This window comes from Homo sapiens, chromosome 2 (genome assembly GCF_000001405.40).
Source record: "Homo sapiens chromosome 2, GRCh38.p14 Primary Assembly".
NCBI classification, from domain to species: Eukaryota; Metazoa; Chordata; class Mammalia; order Primates; family Hominidae; genus Homo; species Homo sapiens.
Window position 1 is genome coordinate 11,643,023 of NC_000002.12, and position 27,478 is coordinate 11,670,500.

General features: G+C 47.1%; 1 protein-coding gene and 1 pseudogene across 5 annotated transcripts, besides 2 other annotated features; both read right to left on the reverse strand.

Annotated features, from left to right (window-relative positions):
- Positions 13,385 to 14,338: an enhancer, noted in NCBI's record as "H3K27ac-H3K4me1 hESC enhancer chr2:11796533-11797486 (GRCh37/hg19 assembly coordinates)". NCBI's record gives its function as "activates a minimal SCP1, AML or CMV promoter by ChIP-STARR-seq in primed H9 embryonic stem cells {active_cell/tissue: H9 hESC(primed)}" and the evidence as "EXISTENCE:reporter gene assay evidence [ECO:0000049][PMID:30033119]".
- On the reverse strand, positions 15,156 to 27,173 carry NTSR2 (neurotensin receptor 2). Of its 5 annotated transcripts, none has more exons than XM_006711877.4 (4): positions 26,484 to 27,173; positions 19,012 to 19,218; positions 17,021 to 17,111; positions 15,156 to 15,700 (listed from the first exon to the last, which is right to left on the reverse strand). In XM_006711877.4, exons 1-4 carry the CDS (start codon positions 27,105 to 27,107, stop codon positions 15,663 to 15,665), a joined length of 960 nt encoding a protein of 319 aa, XP_006711940.1. In that variant the 5' UTR covers positions 27,108 to 27,173; the 3' UTR covers positions 15,156 to 15,662. The 5 variants fall into 5 exon arrangements, with proteins under 5 accessions (XP_006711940.1, XP_006711939.1, XP_016859227.1 ...); XM_006711876.5 differs by having other exon boundaries at positions 19,003 to 19,218; XM_017003738.2 differs by having other exon boundaries at positions 18,952 to 19,218.
- Positions 22,304 to 22,947, reverse strand: CDK8P1 (cyclin dependent kinase 8 pseudogene 1; annotated as a pseudogene).
- Positions 26,614 to 27,150: an enhancer, noted in NCBI's record as "H3K4me1 hESC enhancer chr2:11809762-11810298 (GRCh37/hg19 assembly coordinates)". NCBI's record gives its function as "activates a minimal SCP1, AML or CMV promoter by ChIP-STARR-seq in naive H9 embryonic stem cells {active_cell/tissue: H9 hESC(naive)}" and the evidence as "EXISTENCE:reporter gene assay evidence [ECO:0000049][PMID:30033119]".

Consider the following 27,478-nt stretch of genomic DNA (forward strand, 5'->3'; position numbering starts at 1 on the left):
CCACCAAGGGAAGAAAGTTTGGGGGGACTCTGAGCTTCACGGTGGCTGCAAAGAGTGGAAGGGACCTGGGGCATTTGTCTGGATGATCACCAGGGGGAGCGGTTTGGAGCAGCCAGCCTGGTTGATTCCCTGCAGCGCTTCCCGCCGTGCTTCCCATGCTCCACTGACCTGGGCTAAGCATGCGGCCATGGCTAAGGCCAGTGGCCCCCTTGCTCACTCCCCATCAGCTCCCTGGACCCTGCCAGGCAAGTGCCCACTCAGGCCTGCTGCCTCTCATGCCAGGAGTGCTCATCCCTTGGACTCTCCCACACCCTGATGTTTTCTTGCTACTCGTAAGTCACCTTCCCAATGAGGCCATCCCATACTGGGGAACTACTAACATAGAATACATTTTTGCTATTTTTGTCTCCTTCTGTGAAGGTAGGAATTCTGTAAGAAACATTCAGTGCTGCATGCCCAGAGCTTTGAATTTGCCCAGCTCCTGGTATGTGCTCATTCATTGCCCACTCAGTGAATGAATGAATCTCTCATACCCGCAATGATCTCAACATGGGAGCAGGGGTGGGAGTGATCAGTGATGGAGAAACTAAGAAAATAGTGAAGTCGAGCTGAAATTTTTGATTTACAGGGTCAGCACTGATTAATATGCTGGTAGAAAAGGAACATTTAAATATGCATGTTAAGCATTTCGGATGACCACTGGGAGAAAAGAAAGGATGTCCAACATCTAAAACATTAAAGGGAAGACAGCAAACACCACATCAATGAAATCCAACATAAGGAAAGAACAGTTGGGGATGGGGAGAACAACAGGAAATCTTGGCAAATAAGAAACAAAATTAGATGGCAGGTGTGTGTGTCCATTTGTATGTTACTATAAAGGAATACCTGAGACTGGGTAATTTATAAGAGGTTTATTGGCTCACGGTTCTGCAGGCTGTATAGGAAGCATGGTGCTGGCATCTGCTCCTGGTGAAGGCTTCAGGAAGCTTCCAATCACCGTGGAAGGTGAAGGGGGGCAGACACATTGTGAGAGCAGGAGCAAGAGAGAGGTGGGGAGGTGCCACACACTTTTAAACAACCAGATCTCGTGTGAACTCACAGGGAGAACCCACTCATCCTGAGGACAGCACCAAGCAATCTAAGCACGATGGAATCTGCCCCCCATGACCTAAACACCTCCCACCAGGCCCCACCTCCAATATTGGGGATCACATTTCAACATGAGATTTGGAGGGGACAAACATCCAAACATATCAACAGTCAAAAGAAATATAAGTGGATTAAATTTACCTAAAAATAGATTGAGGTGCTCAGATTGGACTGAGAAAGCTAATCAGAATAGAATTTAACATTTTGATCACAAACTTATGTAGACATGCCCACATGCTATGAAATATATAAAGTGAGAACTGTTAGAAATATGAGAAGAGGGGCGGGCATGATGGCTCAACATCTGTAATCCCAACACTTTGGGAGGCCAAGATGGGAGGAGTGCCTGAGCTCGGGAGTTAGAGACCAGCCTGGGCAACATGGCAAGACCCCACCTCTATAAAAAATATATATATGAGAAGAATGCATAAATTCCGTAGTCATAAATGGAGACCACTCCATCTCTCTCAGAAACAGAGGAAGGAGACCAATAGAAATGAAATCTGATGGGCATAGAAAGTGTTGGACATAAAGTTACCTTCAAATGAGAGAGTTCTGTGTTACACAAATCATTCCAGAAAATCAGAAAATGTTCTGGAACTAGAGAGCAGTGATTGTTACACAACGTTGTGAATATGCTAACTGTCAAGAATAGTAAATTTTTTGGTATATTTTACTACCATAAAATAAAACTTCCAGAGCATTGGAAAATATAGACATCTGTACTTCTGCAAGGCCGGAAATAACACTAATCCCAAACCAGTTAAGAATAGTAAAGACATTAAAAAGAATTATGGTTCCAGTTTCTTTTTTTTCTTTAAGAAAGAGGGTTTTTTTTTTTAACTACTCATACAATTTATGTATTTTTAACTTTTGCAGGTACATAGTAGGTGTATATACTTATGGGGTACATGAGATCTTTTGCTACAGGCATAAAATGTGTAATAATCACATCAGGGTAAATGCGGTATCCAGCACCTCAAGCATTTCCTGTTTCTATATGTTATAAACAACTATACTCTTATTTTTAAATGTTTAATAAATTATTGACTATAGTCATCCTGTTGTGCTATCAGATGCTAGATCTTATTCATTCTCTCTAACTATATTTTTGTACCCATTACCCATCCCTACACCCCTTTCCCCAACTGCTATTCCCAGCCTTTGCTAACCATCATTCTACTCTCTATGAGTTCAATTGTTTTAATTTTCTTAGCTCACACAAATAAGTGAGAACATTCAGTTTGTCCTGTGGCTGGCTTATTTCACTTAACATAATGACCTCCAGTTCCAGCCATGTTGTTGCAGATGACAGGACCTCATTCTTTTTTTTTTTTTTTTTTTTTGAGACGGAGTCTTGCTCTGTCGCCAGGCTGGAGTGCAGTGGCGTGATCTCAGCTCACTGCAACCTTAGCCTCCTGGGTTCAATTGATTCTCCTGCCTCAGACTCCCGAGTAGCTGGGACTAAAAGCACCCGCCACCACGCCCAGCTAATTTTTGTATTTTTAGTAGAGACAGGGTTTCACCATGTTGGCCAGGATAGTCTCGATCTCTTGACCTCATGATACGCCTGCCTCAGCCTCCCAAACTCATTCTTTTTTTTTTTTAATGGCTGAATAGTACCCTATTGTGTATATGTATCCCATTTTCTTTATCCATTCGTTTGTTGACAGACACTTAGGTTGCTCCAAATCTTGGCTTTTTTGAATAGTGCTGCAATAAACATGGAGTGTGTTGCAGAATTTATTTCACAGTTATTTGTATATTTAGATTTTATCCAACGTTCTAAAATGTACATTCTGGGAAATTATCTGTTTCATAAAAACCTTCAAGTTTTCTGGCATAAATTTAAACATTATGTATTTGTGTGGGAATTTTAAGAATCTCTTTACTATCTTCATTTCTCTTTTTTAGTGTCATATCTCTGTCTTCTCATTTTTCTAGTTAGGTCTTGCCGAAAACTTATTTTTTTAAGTCTTATTTATTTTTAAAGTTTTATTTTTAAGGATTTAGGAGGTACAAGTGCAGGCTTCTTACATGTATGTATTGTGTAGTGGTGAAGTCTGGGCTTCTAGTGAACCCATCACCTGAAGAGTGAACATTGTATCCAATAGGTAGAAAATGTGTAAGACCTCTGTGAAGATAGTTATAAAACATCCATGAAAGAAATAAAAGAAGATAGATTAAATTAAATATAGAGAAAACTATGTCCTAATGGAAAGATTCAGTATTATCAAACTACCAATTCCTCCCCCAACCCTACCCCCAAATTAACTTATAAGTTCAATACAAAGCTAATCCAAATCCCAACCAGATTGTTTCTGGAAGCTGCCTATTGAGATTGACATTCTCACTCTGAATCCAGATGTAAGACAAAACAGTAGTTAAACAAATGAAGACCAAAATGTCCCCTGTTGTATCAATAAGGCAGATGTAGGCATATCAGTATCAACAAGGTTTCCAGTGCTGAAGCTGGAATTAGGCCTTCCTACCTGGCCGCAAGCAGCAGACACCATGTGGGGTCTCGTCCGTACAAATGTATAGCTTGGAAGAGCAGGCAGGATCCTGTGCTCCTCAGGCAGGCTGGGTCCAGGGGCAGAGGGAAGGAGTAGATTGCTGAGTTATGCAGGCCAGCTCCTTCCCTGAACCTATAACACAGGTTACTTCTTTGCCCATGGCAAAGGGTAAGTGAGGAGGTAGACAGAAGCTAGAAATGTTACATTAATGGTGTTCCCTGCATGTAGGAGGAAATATCAGAAGTTGGGAACAAATGTTTCCTGTTAGTTTACCTCAGTTTTTGATTCCCTAACCCACTGGGCTTGACCATTAAGCCTACAGTCAGTATAGGCTGACCCCTAGGGGGATGAACAGTCCTTGGGGGAAGCTCTGCTCTCATTTTTAAGACCACCTTCCCAAAAACAATGTTTGCTTTTTCTGAATCTTCCTTGAAGCCCTTGATGGTGCCGTAGACTTGACCCCAGGAGGTGGCCGTGTGTTTCGGAGGGGGGTGTCCTGAGATGAAGGGACCGGGACCCTGCACAGACCCTCGCCCTCATAATGATGTTCTATGACAAGAACCAGTGACCATTTTTTTACACTGTTGAGCTACTGCAATTTCAGGGTTCATTTGTGATGTTGGCATTACTTAACCTATCTTGATGAGCAATGTGAATTGTGCCTGCTAGGATTATGCAACTTGATGGCCCTGAGAGATGTTCCAATAACCGTCTGCTAACAAAATGGAGATGTCCCTGTGATGTGGTTTGACTGTGTCCCCACCCAAATCTTATCTTGAATTATAGCTCCCATAATTTCTGCATGTCGTGGGAGGGACCTGGTGGGAGACAACTGAATCATGGGGGCAGTTTTCCCCATGCTGTTCTTGTGGTCATGAATAAGTCTCATGAGATCTGATGGTTTTATAAGGGAAAAGCCATTTCACTTGGTTCTCATTCTCTCTTGTCTGCCACCATGTAAGACGTGGCTTTTGCCTTCTGCCATGATTGTGAGGCCTCCCTGGCCACGTGGAACTATGTGTCCATTAAACCTCTTTTTCTTTATAAATTACCCAGTCTCTGGTATGTCTTTATCACCAGCATGAAAATGGATTAATACACCCCACATTTGAATATTAATCCTCTCCTATTATATATTTTGGGGGCAAAATCAAAGTCCCTCATCAGTTGATGTTCACAGACATTGAAACACAAAGGAATCAAATGTAAAGCAGAAATGGATGAAAAATCCGAAGAAATTATATGTATTCTTTAAGGTAAAGTCCCAATCCATCTTCCCTTACTTGTTATTCAGCTTCTTCTCACCCAGGAATGTTCTAGATGCCTGGTAGAGTTGGGGCTCCCTCTGCAGCTGCAGCCTGGGAATGCTCACTGGACTGGATTCCTCCAGGTTCTCTGAAGGTTGTGTTAGCACATTGGTAATTAATTGATGTTCCCCAGTTTTTAGATCCAGCGATTCAAGGAATCGATGCAATTATTAAAGTACTGGGCTTTCCCTCATAACATTTAGAAAACAAGGAGATTTTCTCAGGCAAAATTATGTTAAAGTACACTGTTTAATGCTTCCAAAAGCCACAGAGGACCCTCGGTGATATCTGAGTGAAGGAGGAGCATGGGAAAATCCTTTTGGTTTTAGTCATTCCAGGAAGCCGGTCTGTGCCTGTGGGTCTGGAATCCACAACGTCTGCACTTCAATTCAACTGGGTAACTCCCCCATCCACGTTAAGGATGGTGCTGTTTCCACTACCCAGGGGAAACACCATCTCTGCCTGCTCTTTCCTATCTCAAACAATGAGACTTGGAGGCATCACTGCCTTCCTGTGAAGTTGAGAAACCTGCTTAGCATGATCATCCCATCACAGCAGTAACATTCAAGGGCCCACCCTCTTGGTTGACCAGCTGTCCCCAGACACTCTCACCCATGTGCAGGTGTTTGCAGTCCTGCCATGGGGCAGAACCTGCTTGGAGCTATGGAGCCTGCTTCTTGGAGAAGCTTCCCCCACCCCCTCACATTTGTTTCTGCTGGAGAATCAATCACCTTCCCAAACCCTGGTGAAGGCCAGCACTGCTCATATGCAGTGAAGGCCAGTACTGCTCATATGTTTCTTGACATACCCTCCTCCCTCATTTTGGAGTGCCCATGGCTTTCAATCCCCTTTCTTTCTGCTATATTTTTTCTATTTAGAAGGATGTGCCACTCCTGTCTCCTTTTTTCCTGCTAAGAGCTGCCTCTATCCTGCTTCCTGAGTTGATCTCCCTCGTCTCTAACACTTGTAGGGCTAGGCCGTGAATAGATAATGGTGAATGGGACTGCCTTTTACGATTTCTTTTATTTTCTGCACAGACATTTGTTTTCCTAATGTGCTTCTCTAGATTTTGTCTTGTTGGGCTTCCCACAGTGAGAGAGATGAAATCGATGAGTCTGGGATCTGCCAATTCTATCTACTATGCAAATAAAAATGTTCATTTTAACTTAACTTATTTTAGCACAAACATATTTATCCCTTACCACATACATATCATTTTTGACTCCCTGTTCTAAGTGTGTCACAAATATTAACTTACCTCCCTGCATAGAACCATCAGGAGCTATTTTGTCAGGCCAGCATCTAACCCAGGCTGGGGCTTGATCCACCCACGTGCTGTCTGGCTCCTCTCCAATAGATCTCATCTTGACTGGGCCTTCCCTAGATCCCATATTCTATACATTTCTCAGGGATGCTCCTTAAGGACCCAGCAATTTCTGTATTTCCACCTACAGAGAACTTGAAACTCAGTTAATAGCATTTTGAGTATTTACATTGCTATCTCTAGACTTCCCCTCTCAAACATACCCAGATTTTCTGTAACTACTTGGCACTGTGGTCATATTTTAAGGGATTGTTCCCCAATTACTCCTACTCCAAAACGTATCTGTGGCTTTAAAAGTCGCATCTCCAGAGTTTCCTGGGTCCTCGGTCCCTTTGCGGTCACATGCCAGGCTGCTGTTCTTGTCAGATGAGCAGAATGTTCTTCCCCTCATCACTTCTGATCTCACACAACTAAGACATCACCCCCTTTTCTAATACCTTCCTTAAGAACAGTTGGATCTAGGCCTCTCTCCAGTTCCTCGTTGTATGTCTCACTGGCCTTCAACATCTCATTTTTCATTTCATATCAGTCTAGTCTCTCTCCTCAGTTCTCAGCCTTTCTGCTAAGAAAATATCTCCATCTCTCTAACTCATCTTCGCTGCTTTTGTCCTTACTCTTCTATAGTCCAATGATGATGGGGGCACACACTTTCTAAACCACTCTAGCTCCTCCTAGGCAGACTTGATTTTCTAGAACAGTGTTCCAAACACAAAAGCGAAAAATAACACTTTTATGTTAGCAGTTTTATGTATACTGACATGGAGATATTGATCAGAGAAAGAAACACAAACTTTAGTTTACATGTAAAAATACATAGGCGTAATTTATGCATGTATTTTTGCTTATGTGTAGAAAGAAACTGGAATAATGAACACCAAACTGTTGACAATGACCACATTAGGGAAGGGGCAGGGAGTGGGGTGTGTTGAGGGGGCTTCCGCATTTTTCTCTCTGGCCTTCCAGATGCTTTACTTTTTTGTAAGGTAAGAGGACTTATGTGTAAATTGTACACTTTTTCTTAAACAGGAAATTCCCCACTACTCAAATGTCACACACACACACACACAATATGATAGTGTTCCTTCTCTGTTTCAATGATTGATTGTGTCACTCCTCTGGTTAAAACTTTTCAGTAAATCCCTCCTATTTGGCGGCATTTTTTTCCTCTGAGCTCCCACCCTTTCCCGTTAGCTCTGGTGATCTGCTGCTCTGTGGTTTTCATCTACCATCAGGGCCTGTCTTGTCTTCATCTCCTCATGCCTTTCCACTCCCTTCCAGAAGGGCTTCTCAAGTGTGTCACCAAACCCCAGATTGAATTCCTACACTGTCGTTCCCTCTCTACTGCCTGCAGGGCATTGCCATGCTCCCTTTTGTCACAACTTGTCCTTTCCTTGATGGCCTTTTGCATGCGATGCCAAGGAGCCATGCTTTCTTGCAAGCTATGAAGGGAAGAAATCATTGTCTGGGATAGTAAATCCATTTGCCAGGGTGTGCTCCTGACCTATTGCACATTTTATCCTGCAGAATTCCTCACCCTCAATTTGGTCCTGTGTGTGTGTGTATGTATCTTTACTTTTCTTTATGGAATGAAGAAAAATCAAATTCAATTTTTTTCAGTTGGTAAGGCTTGCCCTTGGCCTTGCTTCCTAACTGTTTTGGAGTTGGTGGATTCTCCTTCTCCGTGCCATGGATAAGGGCTGGTTAGGATGCAATGCCTCTGACCTATCTCTAGACATGATCCAAATCAGGACATTTGGGTTGATGTCAGTGTTATTACCAGGTTCTTTCTAAACTAATGTAGAAGAGGGAACTGATGGGGAGGTATAAAATGGAGGTGCAGGTTTCCAATGACTTCAAAGTCTTCATCTACACTTCTGGCAGTGGGAAGCTAAGCAAATTCCGACTTATTTTAAACCTAGAGGTGTGCTGTTTTAGGCAATAGAGCATTTTCTTTAACCAGTGGTTGAAAATTCCAGCAGTTTGATAGCTACTAGAAGTTAGGAGATTTTTCGCTTCCATTCCTTGCTTTTCCTAATGTCATTAGCCCTTCCCCATTGTATCTTTACCTTTGTTCTACTGGAAAGGGCTGTGTCAGGGGACTCTTAGCCAGATGTCATTTTGAACAGGAAGCCCCATTCATGCGCCTCTAACAGTCCATACACAACCAACCGTTAAACCCTCCTATTTCTTCATTTAGGGGGCACTCCAAGACCTGCAAGAATCTTTTCTAGGACACTCTGAGAGTTAAGACCCTCGCTTACCCCAGGACTCTGCTTTACAGTCTCAAGTCCAACCAAATAGAAAGCCCTCAAAACCCAAACCAATCAGCAAAACCCAACCTTACTACAAGGGTTCACAGTGGGCTGGGGCTGTAGGTCAGTGTTTAATGGGTCTTCATGACTATGTGCTATGCACCACTAACTTAGTGCCTACTAGGCCTAGCTTTAGAGCTGTTTTCTCTGTTCCTTGCCATCTGGGCTCAGAGATGCTTTTCTGACCTGCCTAGTAGTCAGGGTCAGAGATAGTTCCCAAAGAAAAAAATCACCTGGATGCTTTTAGCTAATTAAGAGCTGCTACAGTAACAGAGGAGGAATCATCCTGCAAGAAGCAACATTGATTATGTAGGAGTTGGAGTTCCCATGGCAGGATGTGGCAGTGGAGAGGGCTTGGCATTTCAAATCAGAAGACTTGGGTTCGAGCTTCTATTCCTTGGCCAAGTCACCCAGCTCCCCAGAGAGTGTGTTAGCTACAAAATGAACATAGTGAGTAGCAAACATTTGTGAGCACCCACTCTGTGCCAGGCATTTTACTAGATGACTAAATATTCATTATTTCATTGAATCAACACAATACTCTGAGATGGATATTATTGGGATCATCTTATGGAAGAAGAAACTGGGGCTCCGAGAGGTAAAATGACTTGTCTAAGATGACACAGCTATTAAGTGATAGAACAAACCTAGATTCATGCCTGCATGTGTAATAATATTTCCACTAACGTCACAGCTGCTTCCTGTTCTGAGCAATTTACTGCCACTGAATGCCATATATTAGAAGGCAATGTTGGCTCGCAAGGTTCTGTGTACAATCAAGGTACAGATCCAATCTTTTCTCACTGGGAAACCCAGTTCTCGGGTTTCCTGGAGGTAATCCTGGGTGTGGGCATTTATGAAACATACCACATTATGTGCCATCCAGAGTGTGGGACAGCCCAGTATTAAGGTTTAGAAATCACTTTTAATCTTAAAAATTGCATGAAACCTCCTAGATCTGGCTTAAGATTCTGCAGACAGCTTTTGTTGAAGGGAAGACTGTGAACCAAGGGTGCATCCAGTGTTGACAGCTTTCATTTCTTTTTCAGTCTACTTGCTTGGGCAGATTTCCCAGCCCAGAGGGAATTAGCATTTTACTTCACAAAACAGTTGGAAAGGCCAGTGCAGCTTTTTAAAGGCCTTCACGTCTAGAGAAGAAACAAGAATTCTTCTATGACTGCATTTGTCATTCGCCAAATATGCTGTCCCAGTTCTCCTTCTCCTTTCTTTCTAAAACTTTGGCAAGGACTCGTTCTTCTCATTTGAGACCATGGGCTACTCCAACTCTAATTCTTGCTCTATCCAAGGGTCTTTCCCAGGGTGGGAGTCCACCCTGCTGGAGGGGGGAGTTTGGGTGGTATTACAGGTCGAATCATGTCCTGAAAAAAGATGTGTTGAACTCTTAAGCCCCAGGACCTCAGAATGGGAACTTATTTGGAAATAGGGTCGTTACTGATATAATTACTGATATAACTAGCTAAGATGAGGTCATAGTGGAGTGAAGGGGTCCCATATGGTCATAATCCAGTATGACTGGTGTCCTTCTAAGATGGGAGAGAGAGACGTGGAGGCAGACAGACTATCATGTGACAATGGAGGCAGAGATTAGAGTGATAAATTTACAAGCCAAGAATGCCAAGGTTTGCTGAGAACCATCGGAAGCTGGAAGAAGCAAGGAAGTTTCCTCCCCTAGAGTCTTGTGCCCTGCCAACACCTGGATTTCAGATCTGTAGCCTCCGGGATTGTGAGAGAATACATTTCTGTTGTTTTAAGACACGCAGTTTGTGTTACTTTGTTATGGCAGCCATAAGAAACTAACACAGGTGCGTAGTGCATACTTCATCTTTCAATGTTTAGCGAAAGCCTCCTAGGATTCTGATACTGATAAAGTCATGGCTCAGAGACGGAAGCTTGATGAAATAAACACTTCTGGGGTCTCTCTCTTGATCTTGGCAAGGCAAGCAGGCAAGCAAGCAAGCAAGCAAGCAGGTATGCAGCCAAACCAACCAATCACACAAAGAAATACACAATTTAAAAATTTTAAATATAGAATTATAATAATAATCTGCATTCAGGTGCCCATAGAGTCCCTTTATAATCATGACAGCTACTGTTGTTTTATTTTATTTTTATTTTTTTTTTGCCCCAGAAGATGTAAATCAAAAATTTGAAATTTGATAGTGGTTATCTGCATGGTGGGACTACGACTGATCCTCTTCTTTCTTCCTTTTTAAAATGTTGAGATAATTATATATTCACATGCAGTTTTAAGGAAGAATACAAGATTCTGTGCACCTTACTAGCATTTTGACATCGATAGGTTTAAGATACAGTACAATTCCATCACTGTAAGAATCCTTCATATCACATGTTTAAAACAACACTCACCTCTCTCTAGGGCCCCCTCCCCACATCCCAGACACTTGGCAATCACTAATATCTTCCCCATTTCTATAATTTTGACAGCTACTATTTATTGAGTTGTTTTGGGTGCTAGGTAATACAGTAAGGATTTTTTCATATTCCTGATACCAATTGATTCTTAAAACCCAGCAGATAGTTGGCTGGGCGCAGTGGCTCACGCCTGTAATCCCAGCACTTTGGGAGGCCAAGGCGGGCGGATCACGAGGTCAGGAGATCGAGACCATTCTGGCTAACACGGTGAAACCCCGTCTCTACTAAAAATACAAAAAATTAGCTGGGCGTGGCAGCGGGCACCTGTAGTCCCAGCTACTCGGGAGGCTGAGGCGGGAGAATGGCGTGAACCCGGGAGGCGGAGCTTGCAGTGAGCCGAGATCGCGCCACTGCACTCCAGCCTGGGCAACACAGTGAGACTCCGTCTCAAAAACAACAACAACAACAACAAAACAAAACAAAACAAAACCCAGCAGGTTGTTGTGATGACGCCTACTTTACAGAAGTGGAAACAAGGCCCAAGGAAGCGAAGGGATTTGTTTAAGTACTCATCCCTGGACCCGGCTGACCCCAGGCTCCTGTCTCTTTAATCAAGGCTCAGTGTTACCACCTGGGACAACATCAGGGGAACGAAATTCCTATCTGCAATTTGTTATCTCAAGATTATACAAACAATATTATGTCAACACATGAAAGAAAACTGGTTTAGTGGTTCTTTTTTCTCCATACGTTTCTGCGTCTGCTGCGTGCCCCCAATTATTGTGCCTGGATGGTGTGATGAAGAGGACAGCCACTAGTACTGTTCTGGGGTCACTCATACCTCTTTAGCAAAGCCCCCACTTTTATTTTTAAGTGCTTCATTCTGACCTTCTCTCTGTATCTGTGTGATGTGTACATAATATCATAATTTGTCTTGTTTTCTTTCCTAGTCATATAATCAGAATATGCTTATATTGCTAAATACACTTTATAATTTATATTTGTTAAGGACGACCTAATAATTGGGATTTGATTGAACAAGGGCATTGTGATTCACTCAGCTCCATAATGTTGGTCCTCGAATCTCTTGTCGTCTTTCTTTTTTGAGATAGGATCTCACTCTGTTGCCCAGGCTGGAGTGCAGCAGTGCAATTACAGCTTGCTGCAGCCTCAACCTCCCAGGCTCAGGTGATTCTCCCACCTCAGCCTACGGAGTAGCTGGGACTGCAGGTGTGCACCACCACGCCTGGCTAATTTTTTGTATTTTTTATACAGGCAGGATCTCGCCACGTTGCGCAGGCTGGTCTTAAACTCCTGACCTCAAGTGATCCACCTGCTTCATCCTCCCAAAGTGCTGAGATTTCAGGCATAAGCCATGGTATCCAGCCTGTTGACATCTTTTGCCATCCAGCTCCTGGGCAGCAGCATGATGTAGAGGCTGAGCACTGGCTCCCAACTCCGAAGCCTGGGCTCTACTCCTCGAGTTACCAAGTAGCAGGAGAAGAACCTTGCTTAGCTTGTCTTTGCTTCCGTTGCCCCATATGTGAAGTGGTGATGGTAAGAACAGTTTTGACTGTAGTGACTGCTGTGAAGATTAGGCAGCGTAAGAGATTTATGTTGTTGAACCAGTGCCTGCTCGTAAAGGCCCAAATGAAGAATGTTGCAATGACTCTGTGTGCACACAGAGAGGCCTTTCCTTCTTTAGCAAATTTTATCAAAGTAAATATCCAGGAGTTGAATTACAGGGTCTAAGTTTCTGAGCACTTTATGGCTTTCAAAATATATTGCCAATTTGCTTTCCAAGAAGGTTATTCAGTTTCCTCTCCCTCTAAGACAGGAGCACACTGAGGTCACCCAATATTTGTTCTGGTCATTGACATTTTTTGTTAATACATTGCCCATAAAATGTCACGTATTATTGTTTGGGCTGCCATTTCTCCAGGAACTATTGAGGCTGAGCATTTTCCTTTTGTGTGTTTCTTGGCCTTTGGGGTCCTGGTGTTTTGCCTAATGATTTGCATGAAAATTTTGGATAATATATAAAGTAGCTCATCTATGTTTCTCAGTCTATTCTTTACATTTTGTTTCTCTTGCTGCTTACTGTACTTTGGTAACATGTAGCAGAAAAAGTGTCCCTCATTCATATAATCTTTTCGAAGGGACACTACCAGGTTTTACCCAGTTTGGGGTCTAGGATGAAGATGACGACAATAATGACAACTAGCATTTATTGAGCATTTACTATATGCCAGGCACTGTGGTAGGAGCTTAACATTCTTTATCTTATTTAATTATTATAAACTTATTATTAGGTACTACAGATCCACAGTCCCTTATCTGAAACCCTTGGGGCCAGATGTATTTTTCAATTTGGGTCTTCCATGTTTGAGAAAAGTAACATGGGATATATGCCATATATTACGTAACACCCTTAGCAGGGTCTTGGGAGAATACCCCAAATCAAGTGCATTAACATATCTGTAGACACACACACACACACACACACACACTCACACACACAAGCAAAAGAGATAAATGAAGATTACAAATTGCTTCAAATTCAGATCCATTCTTGCTGACCTGAATTACTGTTTTTAAATAGCTTAAGAACTTTCTGCCTTCACCAGTTTCGCGGATGAAGACACAGACTCAGGGAGTTGAACCTGCCCAGGGTTCCCCTGCTCCCAGTGATGAGGTCGAGGAACCGGCTCTTCCGGCCCACGCCCCGGACCTCGCCCAAGCCTGCTTCCCGCGCCGTCTTATCTGCGTTTGGACTGGGAGCTGCTTCTTGCCTTTCCTGCTTCCTGGACCTCTCTGGAGCGTTGGCTGGGGAGCCGCAGCCACAGCCTTGACCCAGGGCCTCCGAAGCCGCGGCTTAAACGGAGGTTGCACCATCACCGGCTGCGGGGCCGGGCGTGCTGGGCCTCACCGTTCCCGGTGCGGGTCTGAAGCTCCTTCTTCCTCCATGAACACAGTGAGCCCGTGGCCTGCCCGTCAGAGCCGCCCTCTCTAGGGGTCCCCACGCCAGAGCTGCTGTCGCTCCTCCTTTCCAGGTGGCATGTCCTCGCTCGACGAGGCCCACGTGTGGGTGCCCTTGGTGGTCCTAGCCCGGGATGGCTCCGTGAAGGGGGTATGGTCGTCACCTCTGGCCTCTTCTCAGGGGTTTTGGGGCTGGGGTCTGGAGAACAGTCACCTCCGAGTTGTGCAGAAGCCACTGCCGGCTCGTCTCAGTGTACCAGCCCAGGAGTGTGTGCATATGACACGTATGCATGTGATGAGTTTACATGTGGTGTGTGTGAGGTGCATCTGATATGTGCTGTAGGTGTAATGAGTGTGTATGTGACATGTGTGCACGTGAGGTGTGACAAGAGTGCATGTGCCGTGTGTTTGTGGTATGTCTGCATGTGATGAGTCTGTGGATACTTGTGTGATGGGTGCCTGTGTGATGTGTGTGTGATGAGTGTGTGTAGCGTTCATCATGGGAGTAGGGGGTGGGGGACGGGTCAGGAGGTGGACAGAGTCTAGGGAAGCGTTGACGCAATTCATCAAAACGAACCTCTCCTTGGTGCTGTGTCCTGCACCCATCTCTCTCCTCCTCCCCTCACAGGCCGGTACCCTCCCCTGTCTTTTGCCACTGCGTCCTCTGCACTCAGGGAAAAGCACCATTGCTCCCCTGGCCTCAGCCTTACCGCCTCCAGGTGCAAGGCTGGCGGTAGAAAGTGGGCCTGGCCTGTGCGGGCAGTGCAGGCTGATTAAGAGAATTAAGATTCAACTCTTGTCCAGCATTGCGCTGGCCAGAGCATAACTGGGCTGCATGTGCCTCGTGGCAGAGTGTGCATGGCCGTTTCCCGGCAAGCCACATGGTCTGGCTTGGCCAGAGGCAGGAGGGGACGCCAGCAGCCCACTGGCTTTCCAGAGTCTGCAGAAGCTGCTGTCAGTGTCAACAGCTGCTCCCTGCCTGGGAGAGAATGGAGAATCTTACTACAGCTCACGTGAGGCACCGATTTGGTCAGCTTCTGGGGCACTGCTGATTTGTCATTTGAGGAAATTTATAGGACACCTGAGCATAAAACTACAGAAGAGTGTTGTGGGCTTTCAGGACAGCAGGAAAGCAATGATGATAGCCATGCAACAACAGTAACAACAGAAATCGTGCCAGCAAAAATTTATTGAGCATCTACTACGCACCAGGTTCTGTGCTAAGCACTTTAGTCTCAGGCAACACTAAGAGATGGGTGCTGTTCTTTATCTCCACTACACAGACGAGGGAGCCTGAGGCTAGGAGGGGTCACGTGGCTTCCCTGCGCTTGATGGTTCTCAGCAGAGCAGGGGTTGATAGAAGTCGCCCTGGCTGCGAAGCTTGAATGATTAGTGATGAGGTTGCTCACCTGCTTTGCCAGGTGACTAAGCAGCTGGTCATTTTGCTTGTTCTGTTCATTCTTGCATTACATTCAGGTCCGGGTTTCTGGGGGATCCCCAAAGCCTGAAGCTGTATCCATTAGGGTGGGACTCTGGGGCTTCGGGGGTAACCGCTTCATGGGGTGGTGCTCTCCACACAGGGAGCTGACGGCTTCCAGGAAGAGTTTTCTGAAGGAGGAGGACACGGCGTTGTAGAGAAGAGGAGTCACAGCTGAGCTGACGTAGAAAAGTGTGTTGGTCACCATGTAGAAGTAGTGGTAGAAATTGTACAGTGGGCTGCAAGAGAAACCCGGGAGCCTGGTTAGAGGACCTGTCACCTCCTCACAGTGTCCACTTCCTACTGGAGAATGCCTCTCCTCCAGAGGGCTGCATGACGAAGCCTATTTTCTGCTATCAGGAAGCACAGTGTTTTTGTTTGTTTGTTTGTTTTTGAGACGGAGTCTTGCTCTGTCTCCCAGGCTGGAGTGCAATGGCATGGCTCACTGCAACCTCCGCCTTCTGAGCTCAAGCAATTCTCCTGCCTACAGTCCTGAATAGCTGGGACTACAGGCACACACCACCATGCCCAGCCAATTTTTGTATTTTTAGTAGAGACGCGGTTTCACCATGTTGGCCAGACTGGTCTTGAACTGCTGACCTCAGGTGATCCACCTGCCTTAGCCTCCCAAAGTGCTGAGATTACAGGCATGAGCCACCGTGCCCAGCCAGGAAGCACAATGTAAATTCCATAAATGTTTCATCACCAGCAGCTGACGCCCTCCACCCAGCCTCTATGATCTGCCATCCCTGGCTGTGGTTCCTGGTCACCTCATGGTAAGGTGACACTGCTGACTGACAGGGGCCATCTGTCCAGCCACTGAGGCCCCGGGTGCCCCGGACTGCTGCGTGTGGTCAGGAGATGTGGCTGCACTAAGAGCCGAAGTTCCGTCTGAGGAGCCGCACTCCTTGCTGCAGGTTCTCTGCAGTGGGAAGCGCTTGGCACGAGCTCATGTTGCCCGTGCAAGTGTAAGGGGTGCTGGTGCCTCCTGAGGAGGAGGCATCTGTCACATGGCTCTTTCTGTGGAGGCTTCCTGGGACCTCGATTCTTTTGGATGTTTGATTCCCACTTATGATTGGGGCACAGTGATTTCTGAAAGGCAGATTATGAATTCTCTCATCTTCTCCAACCATGTCATAAAAGGGGGTGCATGTCTTGGTCTCTGCCAAGGGGACCTTTGTTAGCTCCTGGGGTCGCACCTTTGTGTCTTCCTCACACTCTCCTTGGAATAGGAGAGGAAGGAGAGAGAGAGGAAGCCTCAGAAGCATGGCCCGTGCTCCCTCTTCCCAGGCTGAGGCTTCTCTTTCTCCTGTAGTGAGAATCCCACAGTCTTGGCTAGGCCTCTTACGCACACGGCCTTACCAGGTCAGATACAATGTTCTGTTCCCCATCCCTGGCTGGGAGATTTCAAGGCACAGACTGCACGGGACCAGGTGGAATGCGGTCCAGGATTCCAGAGGACCCAGCAATGGAGGGTCCCTCTGGAGAGCAATGGAGACCCCAGGCCTAGCCCAGTTGGGCCCCCTCCCTGTGTGCTAGGGTCCTTCTGCCACACTCACTCAGTCCACGCGTCATCAGGTACGTAGCAGTACATGAGCCTGCGGGCATGGTACGGCAGCCAGCAGATGACATACATGACCACGATGGCTCCTGCAGAGCATTGGAAAGGGAGAGACAGCGCCAGGAGAAAGCAAACACATTCTCAGTTACACCATTGCAAAGGGAGGCTGATGCCCGAGGGGATAGCAGCATTTCCCTCTAACTTGGTCCTGGAGTCAAGGGTTGGAAGGAGGCTTTGAGGTTATCTGATATATCCCGACCTGAATCTCTTCTCAAACCTCATGTGATCCTGTCCTCTGGATAAGTGTCCACTCTGGCCATGAGCAGGACACAGCATGCTTCTAGGACCTCCTCCTGGCCACTAGAATATACTCCCAACCCAGGGCTAGATATCCCTACCAGGTTATCTATCTGCATATACAACAGAACTGTCTTTCTTGGGCCAGGCACGGTGGCTCATGCCTGTAATCCCAGCACTTTGGGAAGCCGAGGCAGGTGGATCAGTTGAGGTCAGGTGTTTGAGACCAGCCTGGCTAACAGGACAAAAATTAGCCAGGTGTGGTGGCAGGTGCCTGTAATCCCAGCTACCTGGGAGGCTGAAGCAGGAGAATTGCTTGAACCTGGAAGGAGGAGGTTGCAGTGAGCTGAGACCACACCACTGCACTCCAGCCTGGGTGACAGAGCAAGACTCCATCTCAAAAAGAAAAAAAAAGTGAACTTGTGTCTTTCTTGTCTTAGAAAGCCTCTTGCTCCTTTAGTCCTTTCTCTGGTTAATTTACAGCACTGCCATTCATCTGGCACTCAAGCCATAAGCCAGAGACTCCTATTTTTCTGTTCCTTTCTATATCCAGTCTATTGAAAAGTTCCTTCTTAGCATCTCTCCTCTGTGCTTTCCCTGCTCTCACTGCTACCTCCCTAAGAGACTCTTACCGCCTCTGTACTGGACTATGACGAGTTTCCCAACCTCCCACCCCTTCCCTCTCCTGCTTCTACTCTGCTCTGACTGGCAAAGCCATCATCTAGCCCAGGGTAGCCCCTGGACCAGCAGTGTCAACATCAGTGAGAAGCCTGGTAGAAGTGCAGAATCTTGGGCCCCGCGGCTTGCATTTTACAACTCTCCAGATCATTCTTAACACACACTGAAGTTTGAGAGGCACCGTTTAGCCCATTCTCCAAAGAGCTGAGCGCAATAGGTCTCAAAAGCAAATCTCCCGTCACTTATGGACATCAACTTTTTCAATGACTGACCATCGTCCCTAAAATGAAGTCTGACACCTTCATGTGCTGACTTTGTGTTACTTATCACATCACATTGCACTTAGCTCTTGCATCTCTGTCCATACACAAGACTGTGACATTGATGACAGCAGAGGGCCTGTCTTGTACTTGATCCTTCCATACCCTAGCTAGTGCCTGGGTTATGGTGGGTGCTTGGAGAGACCTCTGCTCTCCTGTGCCTTTTGGAGTTTCTCTTACAAGGCCAAATTTTCCCAGAGACTTACAAAACAAGAAAGCAAACAGATCAGTGTTGTAGGAGGGAAAATGGAGTTTGAAGGGACTGGATTTAGGTACCCAGCCCATCTGAGAGTCCACAATTTGCAGCCGCAGTCTTTAACCATAACTGCTCCTCATGTTCATCCACACCGCCAGACTCACTGAAAAGTGGTCAGGTCTCTGTTTGCCTGTGTGTGCTATTCCCTGGAGCAGATCAGAGGCTTCATGTACAGAATTCCTATTCTTTCCTTTAATTATAGCACCGAACCCTACAGGAAGTCTGTTGGTTATACAGTTCCCCTGGGGCATAGGGTAAAGGAAGCCTTGAGAGAGGTAGTGACTTGCTGAGGTCACCCGGCCAGGGATTGGTGGAGGCAGCCCTGGAACTTAGGCCCCTTTCTTCTGGGGTGATGTTACAGAGGACTTAACTGAGAACCTGGACGCTGCGCTGGAGGCTGCGGATCCGGCGCACGTCTTTATGTCTCACCAGGCTGACCTGGCCTCCCTGGATAAAGGTCTTCTTCCATACGATGAAGCTGAGGAGACCCTCCTCACTCAGCAGCTCCAGGCGGCTGGGGGTGGAGCTGCCCGGGGTAGAAGTGGACGGCACTTGGGAGCAGAGGGCCAGCAGGTGGCTCACTGTGACCCCATTCAGGAAAGCAGTTAGTGCCAAGGGGAGCACGAAGGACACCAGCACATTCACCTGTGGAGGTAATGCCAAGGGCTATGGGGCAGCGCCAGGGCCCTGCGGCCCTCGCCATCTGGCTGTGCCCCAGACCCGGAATCTGCATCAGCAGAAGGAGCGGCAGAAGGGTTAGAAGATAAGGTTGAGAAAGTTCTCAAAAAGTGAGGAGAGAGAAAATAAAATTTCGGATTAGTATAGGATGTTCATAATAGGGGTTCCAGGAAGAAAAAAAATAGAGAAAACAGAGGGGAGGAAATTTTATTTAAAAATGCATTCAAGCCGGGCACGGTGACTCACGCCTGTAATCCCAGCACTTTGGGAGGCCGAGGCGGGCGGATCACGAGGTCAGGAGATCGAGACCATCCTGGCTAACATGGTGAAACCCTGTCTCTACTAAAAATACAAAAAATTAGCTGGGCGTGGTAGCGGGCGCCTGTAGTCCCAGCTACTCGGGAGGCTGAGCCAGGAGAATGGTGTGAACCCAGGAGGCGGAGCTTGCAGTGAGCCGAGATCATGCCACTGCACTCCAGCCTGGGCAACAGAGCGAGACTCCGTCTCAAAAAAAAAATGCATTCAAGAAAATTTTCCCAAAGTTGAGGAATCTGAGCTTCTAGACTGAAAGGCTGCCCGGGTGCCCAGAAGAATCGATGGAAATAGACTCATAGCAAGTCTCATTCTTATGACATTTAGCATCTTAGGTATAAAGAGAAGATCTTGAAAGCTTCCAGACAGATAAAACAGGTCACATAGATAGGATGGAAAACCAGAATGACATTCACTTCTTAAAAGCAATGGTGGAAGCTAGAAAATCATGAGCAGTGCTTTACAATTTGTGAGAAAAATGGCTTCCATCTTAGAATTTTATACCCAGCCATATTATGACAAACATGAGGATAAAAGAAAACAATTTTTGACATGCAAATTCTCAATTTTTTTTTACCCTCTATGGACCCTTCCTCAGGTCTCAGGAGATTAAAAGAACATGTTCTAGACAAATAAGGTTATAAGCCAATAAAGAGGAAGACCTGTCATTCAAAATGGGGTATCCTACACAGGACCCACCGAGGGATGGAAGGGAGCTCCCAGGGGGCCCCCGTGCAGATGAGACTTCCCTATGGTCCCCCTGTGCACCAGAGAGCAACCAGTGGGACTGGAGCAGGAGACCAGAGAGCTCCAGGGAGAACTGAAAAATAAAAGATGAAACTGGTAGATTATCTAATGGATCAGAACATATTGAAAGGGCATTTACGCTTGTGATAGAGGAGCTGAAAATGAACTACAAATAGGTACTTAAAAAACTATGCAAATGAAAAAAAAGGCCATACATTATTAACCGCAAAGAAAACAAAAGTCCTTGGATTAGAAAGAAAATACAACACATGGGTCATCTGTGAAGAATGTTTACATAGTCACAATTACATAAATACTGAACATAAATTTAACCCAGCACAGGGATAGAATTACACTGGAAGGAGGATGGGGCCAGTGTGTGTTGAGGTGATGGTGACAGAAGGCAGGGACAGGAATGTGGGAGAGTGAAATGCTCATTTTCTGTAGATATAAGACAGTGGATACAATTTAAAACAGAAATAAAGCTAGTATGCTCTTTAGAAATATGGAGGCAAAGAGGACAAGCGACAAGAACACATGGTATTTGCCTCTCAACTAGAGAAATAGAGAAATGAATCAGAGTATGGAGAATGATGGGACTGCTGTTTTCCATCACACACCTTGGGTTATCATCATTGATACTATGTGACTTAGAAAAATGAATTTATTTATATAATACCCTGTGTTTTAAATGTTTACTTTTAAAAATTCAAAATCAATGTGTTCTAGGGTTTCCCCTCATCAGTTCTAAGGCTCTCTTCCACCTTTCCCTTAGCAAACATTTTAAACACTGAGCATTTTTTTTTTTTTTTGAGACGAGGTCGCCCAGACTAGAGTGCGGTAGTGCAATCACAACTTACTGCAACCTCTGCCTCCTGGGCTCAAGTGATCCTCCCACCTCAGCCTCCCGAGTAGCTGGGACTACATGCATGTGCCACTACGCCTGGCTAATTTTTGTATTTTGTGTAGAGATGGGGTTCTCACTATGCTGCCCAGGCTGGTCCTGAACTCCTGAGCTCAAGCAATCTGCCCACCTTGGCTTCGCAAAGTGCTGGGATTACAGGTGTGAGCCACTGTGCCTGGACTAACTGAATGATATTTAATACCACTTTAAAATCAGTATGAACTATCTGAATTGGACCCTGTGCCTTTTTATGGAGTTATCATTCATGCCTTTTTATCTTAATGCTTGCTCACAAATCAGCAACACTGAGGGAAAAATAAAACACTACCTGTGACCATCAATTTAGTTTGTTGACGAACCAAACAGGTTTATATCAGTAATGACATACTTAATTACTCTCAATTTGTAGCTTTAATACCAGTCAAGACAAAGATCAAAATTAAAAATATATTTATGCATTAGTAATTAATCTTTGGGAGTTTTAAAATCTTTCTGGGAAAACTATAGTTTTTCGTACTTTCAAAAACTGTAAGCAATTTTCTTGGACCAAAAAAACACTGGTTAATATAAACAGTGAATCAACTCACTGATAAAATATTAGAATCAAAATAATCCTAATTTGAGTCTGGTTATTTTGTTGTGTTAACATACACTGTATGTTTCAATTGAAACATTTTTAAACGCACTATTTGTCAAAAGATGCTGTTAGACTGACAGAATTCATTTCACAGCTTCATTGCCCTGGCCAGGTTGAACCATGTCAAGGAAACTGTGAGCAGCATATTCAAAACACAAACATTGCTTGGCACTTTGGCACTGTTTTTTTTTTTTTTTTTTTTTTTTTTTTCCAAGCTTGTCTCCCAGTTAGGAACAGCCTGGAAGTCACTAGTCCAGACTGTGACAAGTGGTGGAACCCGGCTCCCAGGCATTGTGGAAATACGGTTCATTGTCACAGCCACGCCAGGCCTCGGCGGAGAACTGCGCAGCCAGGTCTGAGCGGCAATGCGCTGGCTCTTCTGCTGCAGCTGGGGACCACGTGCAGGCAGCTGGGAGGTAGATTCCTGTACCTGCTGCTCTGTGCTTAGTGCTGGCTTGTCATGGGGCTAGAGGTTACTAGTGTGGATGATAAAAAATATTCGTTCTGACATTAGTAGTTCTGCAAATACACACGCTATAGCCCATGTATCAGCAGCTCTGGAATAATGTCTTGCCTCGATAAGTAGCTCTGGGACTCGGAATGTTGCAGCTGCTAGATCCAGATCTGCCCAAGGCTTCAAAGGTGAACAAAAAAATAGAGTGCCACTCATATCAGTGATTTGGACTCGAATTTACTCAGGATCTTTACTCATAGTTAAAATATTGGCAGGTTCTACATACCTATGTAACTCCCAGTGGTCATGCAGGCAGCAAACTGCATCTAGGATGGGAGGTGATGATGACCTCACTATCCCCCAAGGTAACTGAGCTGGCTTCTTGTTTGTTAGTAGCTCTGCACCACTAGATTATAAGTCAGAGGTCACACAGAAGCCCTACTTCCATGTCAGCATGAGACAGAAAGACTTTCCGAAGAGGGAGGGCCCGTGGGTGCTCAAGCTTGTGAAGGAACCACCTTTCCTCTTGGCTTTGTAGACACGACCCCAAGTGCCTCAGCCTACTTTGCAGTCCTCAGATTCAAACAGGTCCTCAAGCGGCTCCCACTTGCTGGACAGCTTCAGTTTAAAGTCACAGTCCATGGTCACAGCCTCTGAGGCCAAGAAACCAGGTCAAGACTGCAGGAAGGCACGCAGGCGCTTTAGCCCTTGGAATCCTGCTACCCAGCAGCAACAGCAGGACCTGAATCGATGTGGCAAAAGGAGGATGATACCCCTTGGTAGAGCTGAGGTACCAAGTGGCAGTGGGCCAAAGTGGTGGGGAGACCTGGGAAGATCTCCCAGGCAAAGAGAGCAGAGAGATGAGGTTGCGGGTCTCCAGCTGGTCGTCTCCTTGCCAGTCCTTCCAGCTGCTGCCCCAGAGGCCACAGGGACAGCTACTGTGGGGTTCCTCATCCTACCAAACTCTCACACCCCTTTGCTTACTCATGCTCAAATTTTTAAAAAATGTACATATATAACTTTGCTTAAATAGTAAAGATGTTTTCAAAGCAAAAAATAAAATAAAAAACAACGAACAAAAAGTGAATCTAGGCCGGGCGTGGTGGCTCACGGCTATAATCCCAGCACTTTGGGAGGCTGAGACGGGTGGATCACGAGGTCAGGAGATCAAGACTATCCTGGCCAACATGGTGAAACCCCATTTCTACTAAAAATAAAAAAATTAGCTGGGCGTGGTGGCACGTGCCTGTAGTCTCAGCTACTTGGGAGGCTGAGGCAGGAGAATCGCTTGAACCCAGAAGGCCGAGGTTGCAGTGAGCCGAGAATGTGCGACTGCAATCCAGCCTGGCGACAGAGTGAGACTCCATATCAAAAACGAAACAAAAAGTAAATCCAGAGAAGGCAAATGGAGCTGAGTTATTAAAGAGAGGCCAGGGGTGGAGGAAGGAGGGAGCTTGATGATGAGTGAGGAGAGGAGGGAGGGAAGGAGAAGGGCAGAGCAGGCAGGGAGAGAGAGAAGACGGGACAGGTGGGAAGGCCCTGATTCTGCTTCCTGTGAGCCAGGCACTGTACCAGGCTGGGAAGGGAGAGCTGGAGTTAAACCCTCAGGTGGGAAGAAAAGGCAGGAAAGGAAAGAAGGTGAACGTTTGTTGAGGACCTGCAATATTCTGGGCAATTCCACATGATCTCATTGAATTATCACAGAGGATGCCAGCAGCCATGTTCTTGTCCTGTGGACAGACCTGGGCATGTGAACGCTACCCACAGACACCCAGAGGCCTCTTTCTGAGTCTGGGAAGAGCAGGAGCGAGAGGGGCTCCTGGGAGCCCTGAGCCCCTGACTCTGACCTGAGATCTCTGCCCCAACATCCTTGCTTCAATTTTTTATTTTGGCTGAAGTTGCCTCCAGTTCTGTTTCCATCATTTGCAACATAGAGTTCTGACTACACCCCTCTCCAGCCTCTTTCCCCTTCCACAATGGCTAGAATTTTTATTCAGAAACAGATTATGAACTTTTAATGTTTAATTTTTATTTTTTGAGACAGGGTCTTGCTCTGTCACCCCCGCTGGAGTGCAGTGATGCAATCATGACTCAATGTAACCTCAAACTCCTCGGTTCAAGGGATCTTCCTGCCTCAGGCTCCTCAACAGCTAGGACTACAGGCATGCCACCATGCCCAGCTAACTATTTTATTTTTAGGAGAGACAGGGTTTCACTATGTTGCCCAGGCTGGTCTCGAACTCCTGGCCTCAACTGATCCTCCTGCCTTAGCCTCCCAAAGTGCTGAGATTACAGGCTTGAGCTACTGCACCGAGCCTTATAAACTTTTAAATGCGAAGTTCCATGTAAAATAAACAAGGAAACAAATAAATACATCTTCCTTAGGCATTTGGTCCCTCCATCCTTCTCTCCCTCTCTCCAGGCCAGATCCCACCCTCCATACTCCACATCCACGGGAGACCTGTGTCCTGCTTCCAGGTGCGCATTGGAGCCCCCAGACCCACGGGAAAATCACTGCAGACAGTTGCTCATGGCAGATTCCATGTGATGAGCAAGGGATCTCTGGGCTGAGCCTGTCAGAAAGGAACTAGGGGAGGAAGACGTTGTTTAAAGAAATAAGAGGTGACAAGTTCAGTGGAGAGAAGGCCCTGTTGCCAGGACAGCCACTCCACAGAGGTACACTTCTGAGGATGACTCGGTGGCCTCTGTGGATTCCGGGGGCAGGACTGTGGGGCATGCTCAATATCTGGAAGGATTCTGGCCGTGGAAAGTCCCTCTCCCCTCCACAATGTTTAGATTGAATGGAAACAAAGCGGCTCCACTGAACACCCACGAAATCTTAAGACGTTGCCTGCTTCATGGATTTCTCTTGGTCATGAATGAAAAGCAGGTTGGTGAGTGAACACCTTCCCTGAGGCCCTTCAGTCCTCTACCCCTGCCCAGGGGATGGATGAGCAGACACGAACAAAGGTGGGATCTTCAGGAACGAGGAGAGGGTATAGGAAGAGAGAGGGGACTTTAGCGAGGGCCCTTCGACTGTGTAGGCAGGCTGGGCTTCCATCTGCAGGAAGCAGCTTAACATGAGAGGGAGCCTCACCTGGGGACGTGCCACTAAGAAGCCGCTTAGGAGACTGCTTAGGACGAGTCCCCTAAGCAGCCTCTGCACCCTCCATGTGCCCTGATGAATTCACACAGTAAACGCTCCCACATACCCTCGTGTGCCAGTGTGCAGAGAAGGGGTCCTGGCTCCACTCTGCTTTGTTCCTTTAGGTTTCCTGGAGGCCCAGCAGGGCCTGGAGGGGCCTGTGCTTTCTCAGCCTTTCCCACTTCCCCAATGTGCTGGATACATGAGATCATGGTCTAATGTGACTAGAGCAAGCGACCAGAGGACACTGGCTTGTAGAACGATGCGGAAATGGAGACAGACACTTCGAAAGGTGAGCATCACTTTCAGAAAATGCATTGTGAAGTGCTGCAAATACATCACATGCTGAGAGAATTCAGAAGACGGGAGAGTCCCTGGAGTTGGGGAGGAGGTGAGATCAGAGCTGCACTTTGGGGAATAAGAAGGGTTGGAACCAAAAGCAGAAGAATGAGCTTTTGACTTAAAAGCCAGAGGCTGGGCATGGTGTGGGGTTCGGGGAAAGCGGGAGCAAGAGGTGTGGGGGGACAAGTGGCCTGGAGGAGGCAAGGCTGCCAGGGAGACGGTAACAGGAAATGAGGTTAGAAGCCTGATCAGGCCTCTGGAAGAGAGGCCGGGAGTGCCTTCCCCGTCCCCACCCTACCTCCAGGGAGGCCCTCTCCAGAGCCGTCTGGGGAGCTCGTTGGAACACAGACTTCGGGCTACTGAGGCAGGAACCTGGGTGGGTCATGGACTCCGGATTTTCACAGGCTCTGCAGGCAACTTTACGCCCAAATGTCTGAGCACCACTCTCGCAAGAGTGGGAACACTGACTTTGGAGTTAATTTTGAATTGAAATCGGGACTTCTCTCAATGCTTCACTTTGGCCACGCCTCCCTCCTTCTAGTAAAATGGGACAGAGCAACAAGACCCAACTTGCTGGGTGGTGGCGAGCATTAGAGTCGAAAATGTCTGTTCCCCGGGGAGAGGGGGTTCCCTCCTCCCAGCACCGCCCCCCCACCCCCCCTCCCCCGACTCCCGCTCTCCACGCCCTTACCTGGATAAAGACTTGGAGCGCGGTGCGGCTCACCAGCACCGTGCACACTCGCGAGGCGGGCTCCGGCTCCCCGTCCGCCGTCTCGAGTTCGTGCTTCTGCCCCATGATGACGGCCATGGGCAGGGCGAGGCCGAGCGAGGCGGCCCACGAGAGCGCCACCAGCCACCGGGTCCGGCGTGGCGTCAGCAGGCTGCGGGCACGCAGGGGCTGGCACACGGCTAGGCAGCGCTCGGCGCTCAGGCCTGCCACGCTCAGCACCGTGGCGTAGGCGCACAGCTCGTGCACGAAGTAGTAGCCGCGGCAGCCCAGGTCGCCGAAGACCCAGGGGTAGTGGAACCACACGAAGCTGTAGAGCTCCACCGGCACGCCGACCAGCAGCAGCAGCAGGCCCGCGAGCGCCAGGCTGAGCACGTGGTGGCGCAGGCGCCCCGCGCGCCCGGCCCGCGCCTTCAGCACCACGTGCGCGGACAGCGCATTGCCCGCCGCGCCCAGCGCCCAGATGAGTGCGTAGAGCGCGGTGAACAGCACCTTGGCCCAGAGGCGAGTGTCCACGCCCAGCCGGGCGTCCAGGCTCAGCCCCGGGTTGGAGCTGGGCCGCGGGGGCCGCGGGCTGCTGGTTTCCATCCCGCTCCCGCGGCCGGCGCTCCCTCCCTCTCACTGCCCGGAGTCTGGGCGAGCTGCCTGGTTAGTGAGCACCTCCTCTTCTCTGGGAACCTCTAGAACTGGGAGGACACGCCCCCGAAAGGGTGTCCCTGAGCCAACGTGGGACCGCGAGTGCCAGCCCGTTAGCGTCGGTCACACGTCTGGGTTCAGTTCAACCCAGGGAAGCGCGTGCTGGTGGAAAGGGGGTTGGGTTCCTTCAGGGGCTGATAGTCCCGAGTTGGGCCGAACTCCACCACTTTCGAACTTTGTGAACTTGGGCAAGTTTTTTAACCTCTCTGAATCTGGTTTTGCAACTTTATTATCGACACTGCAGAATTTCTGGGAAGATGAAA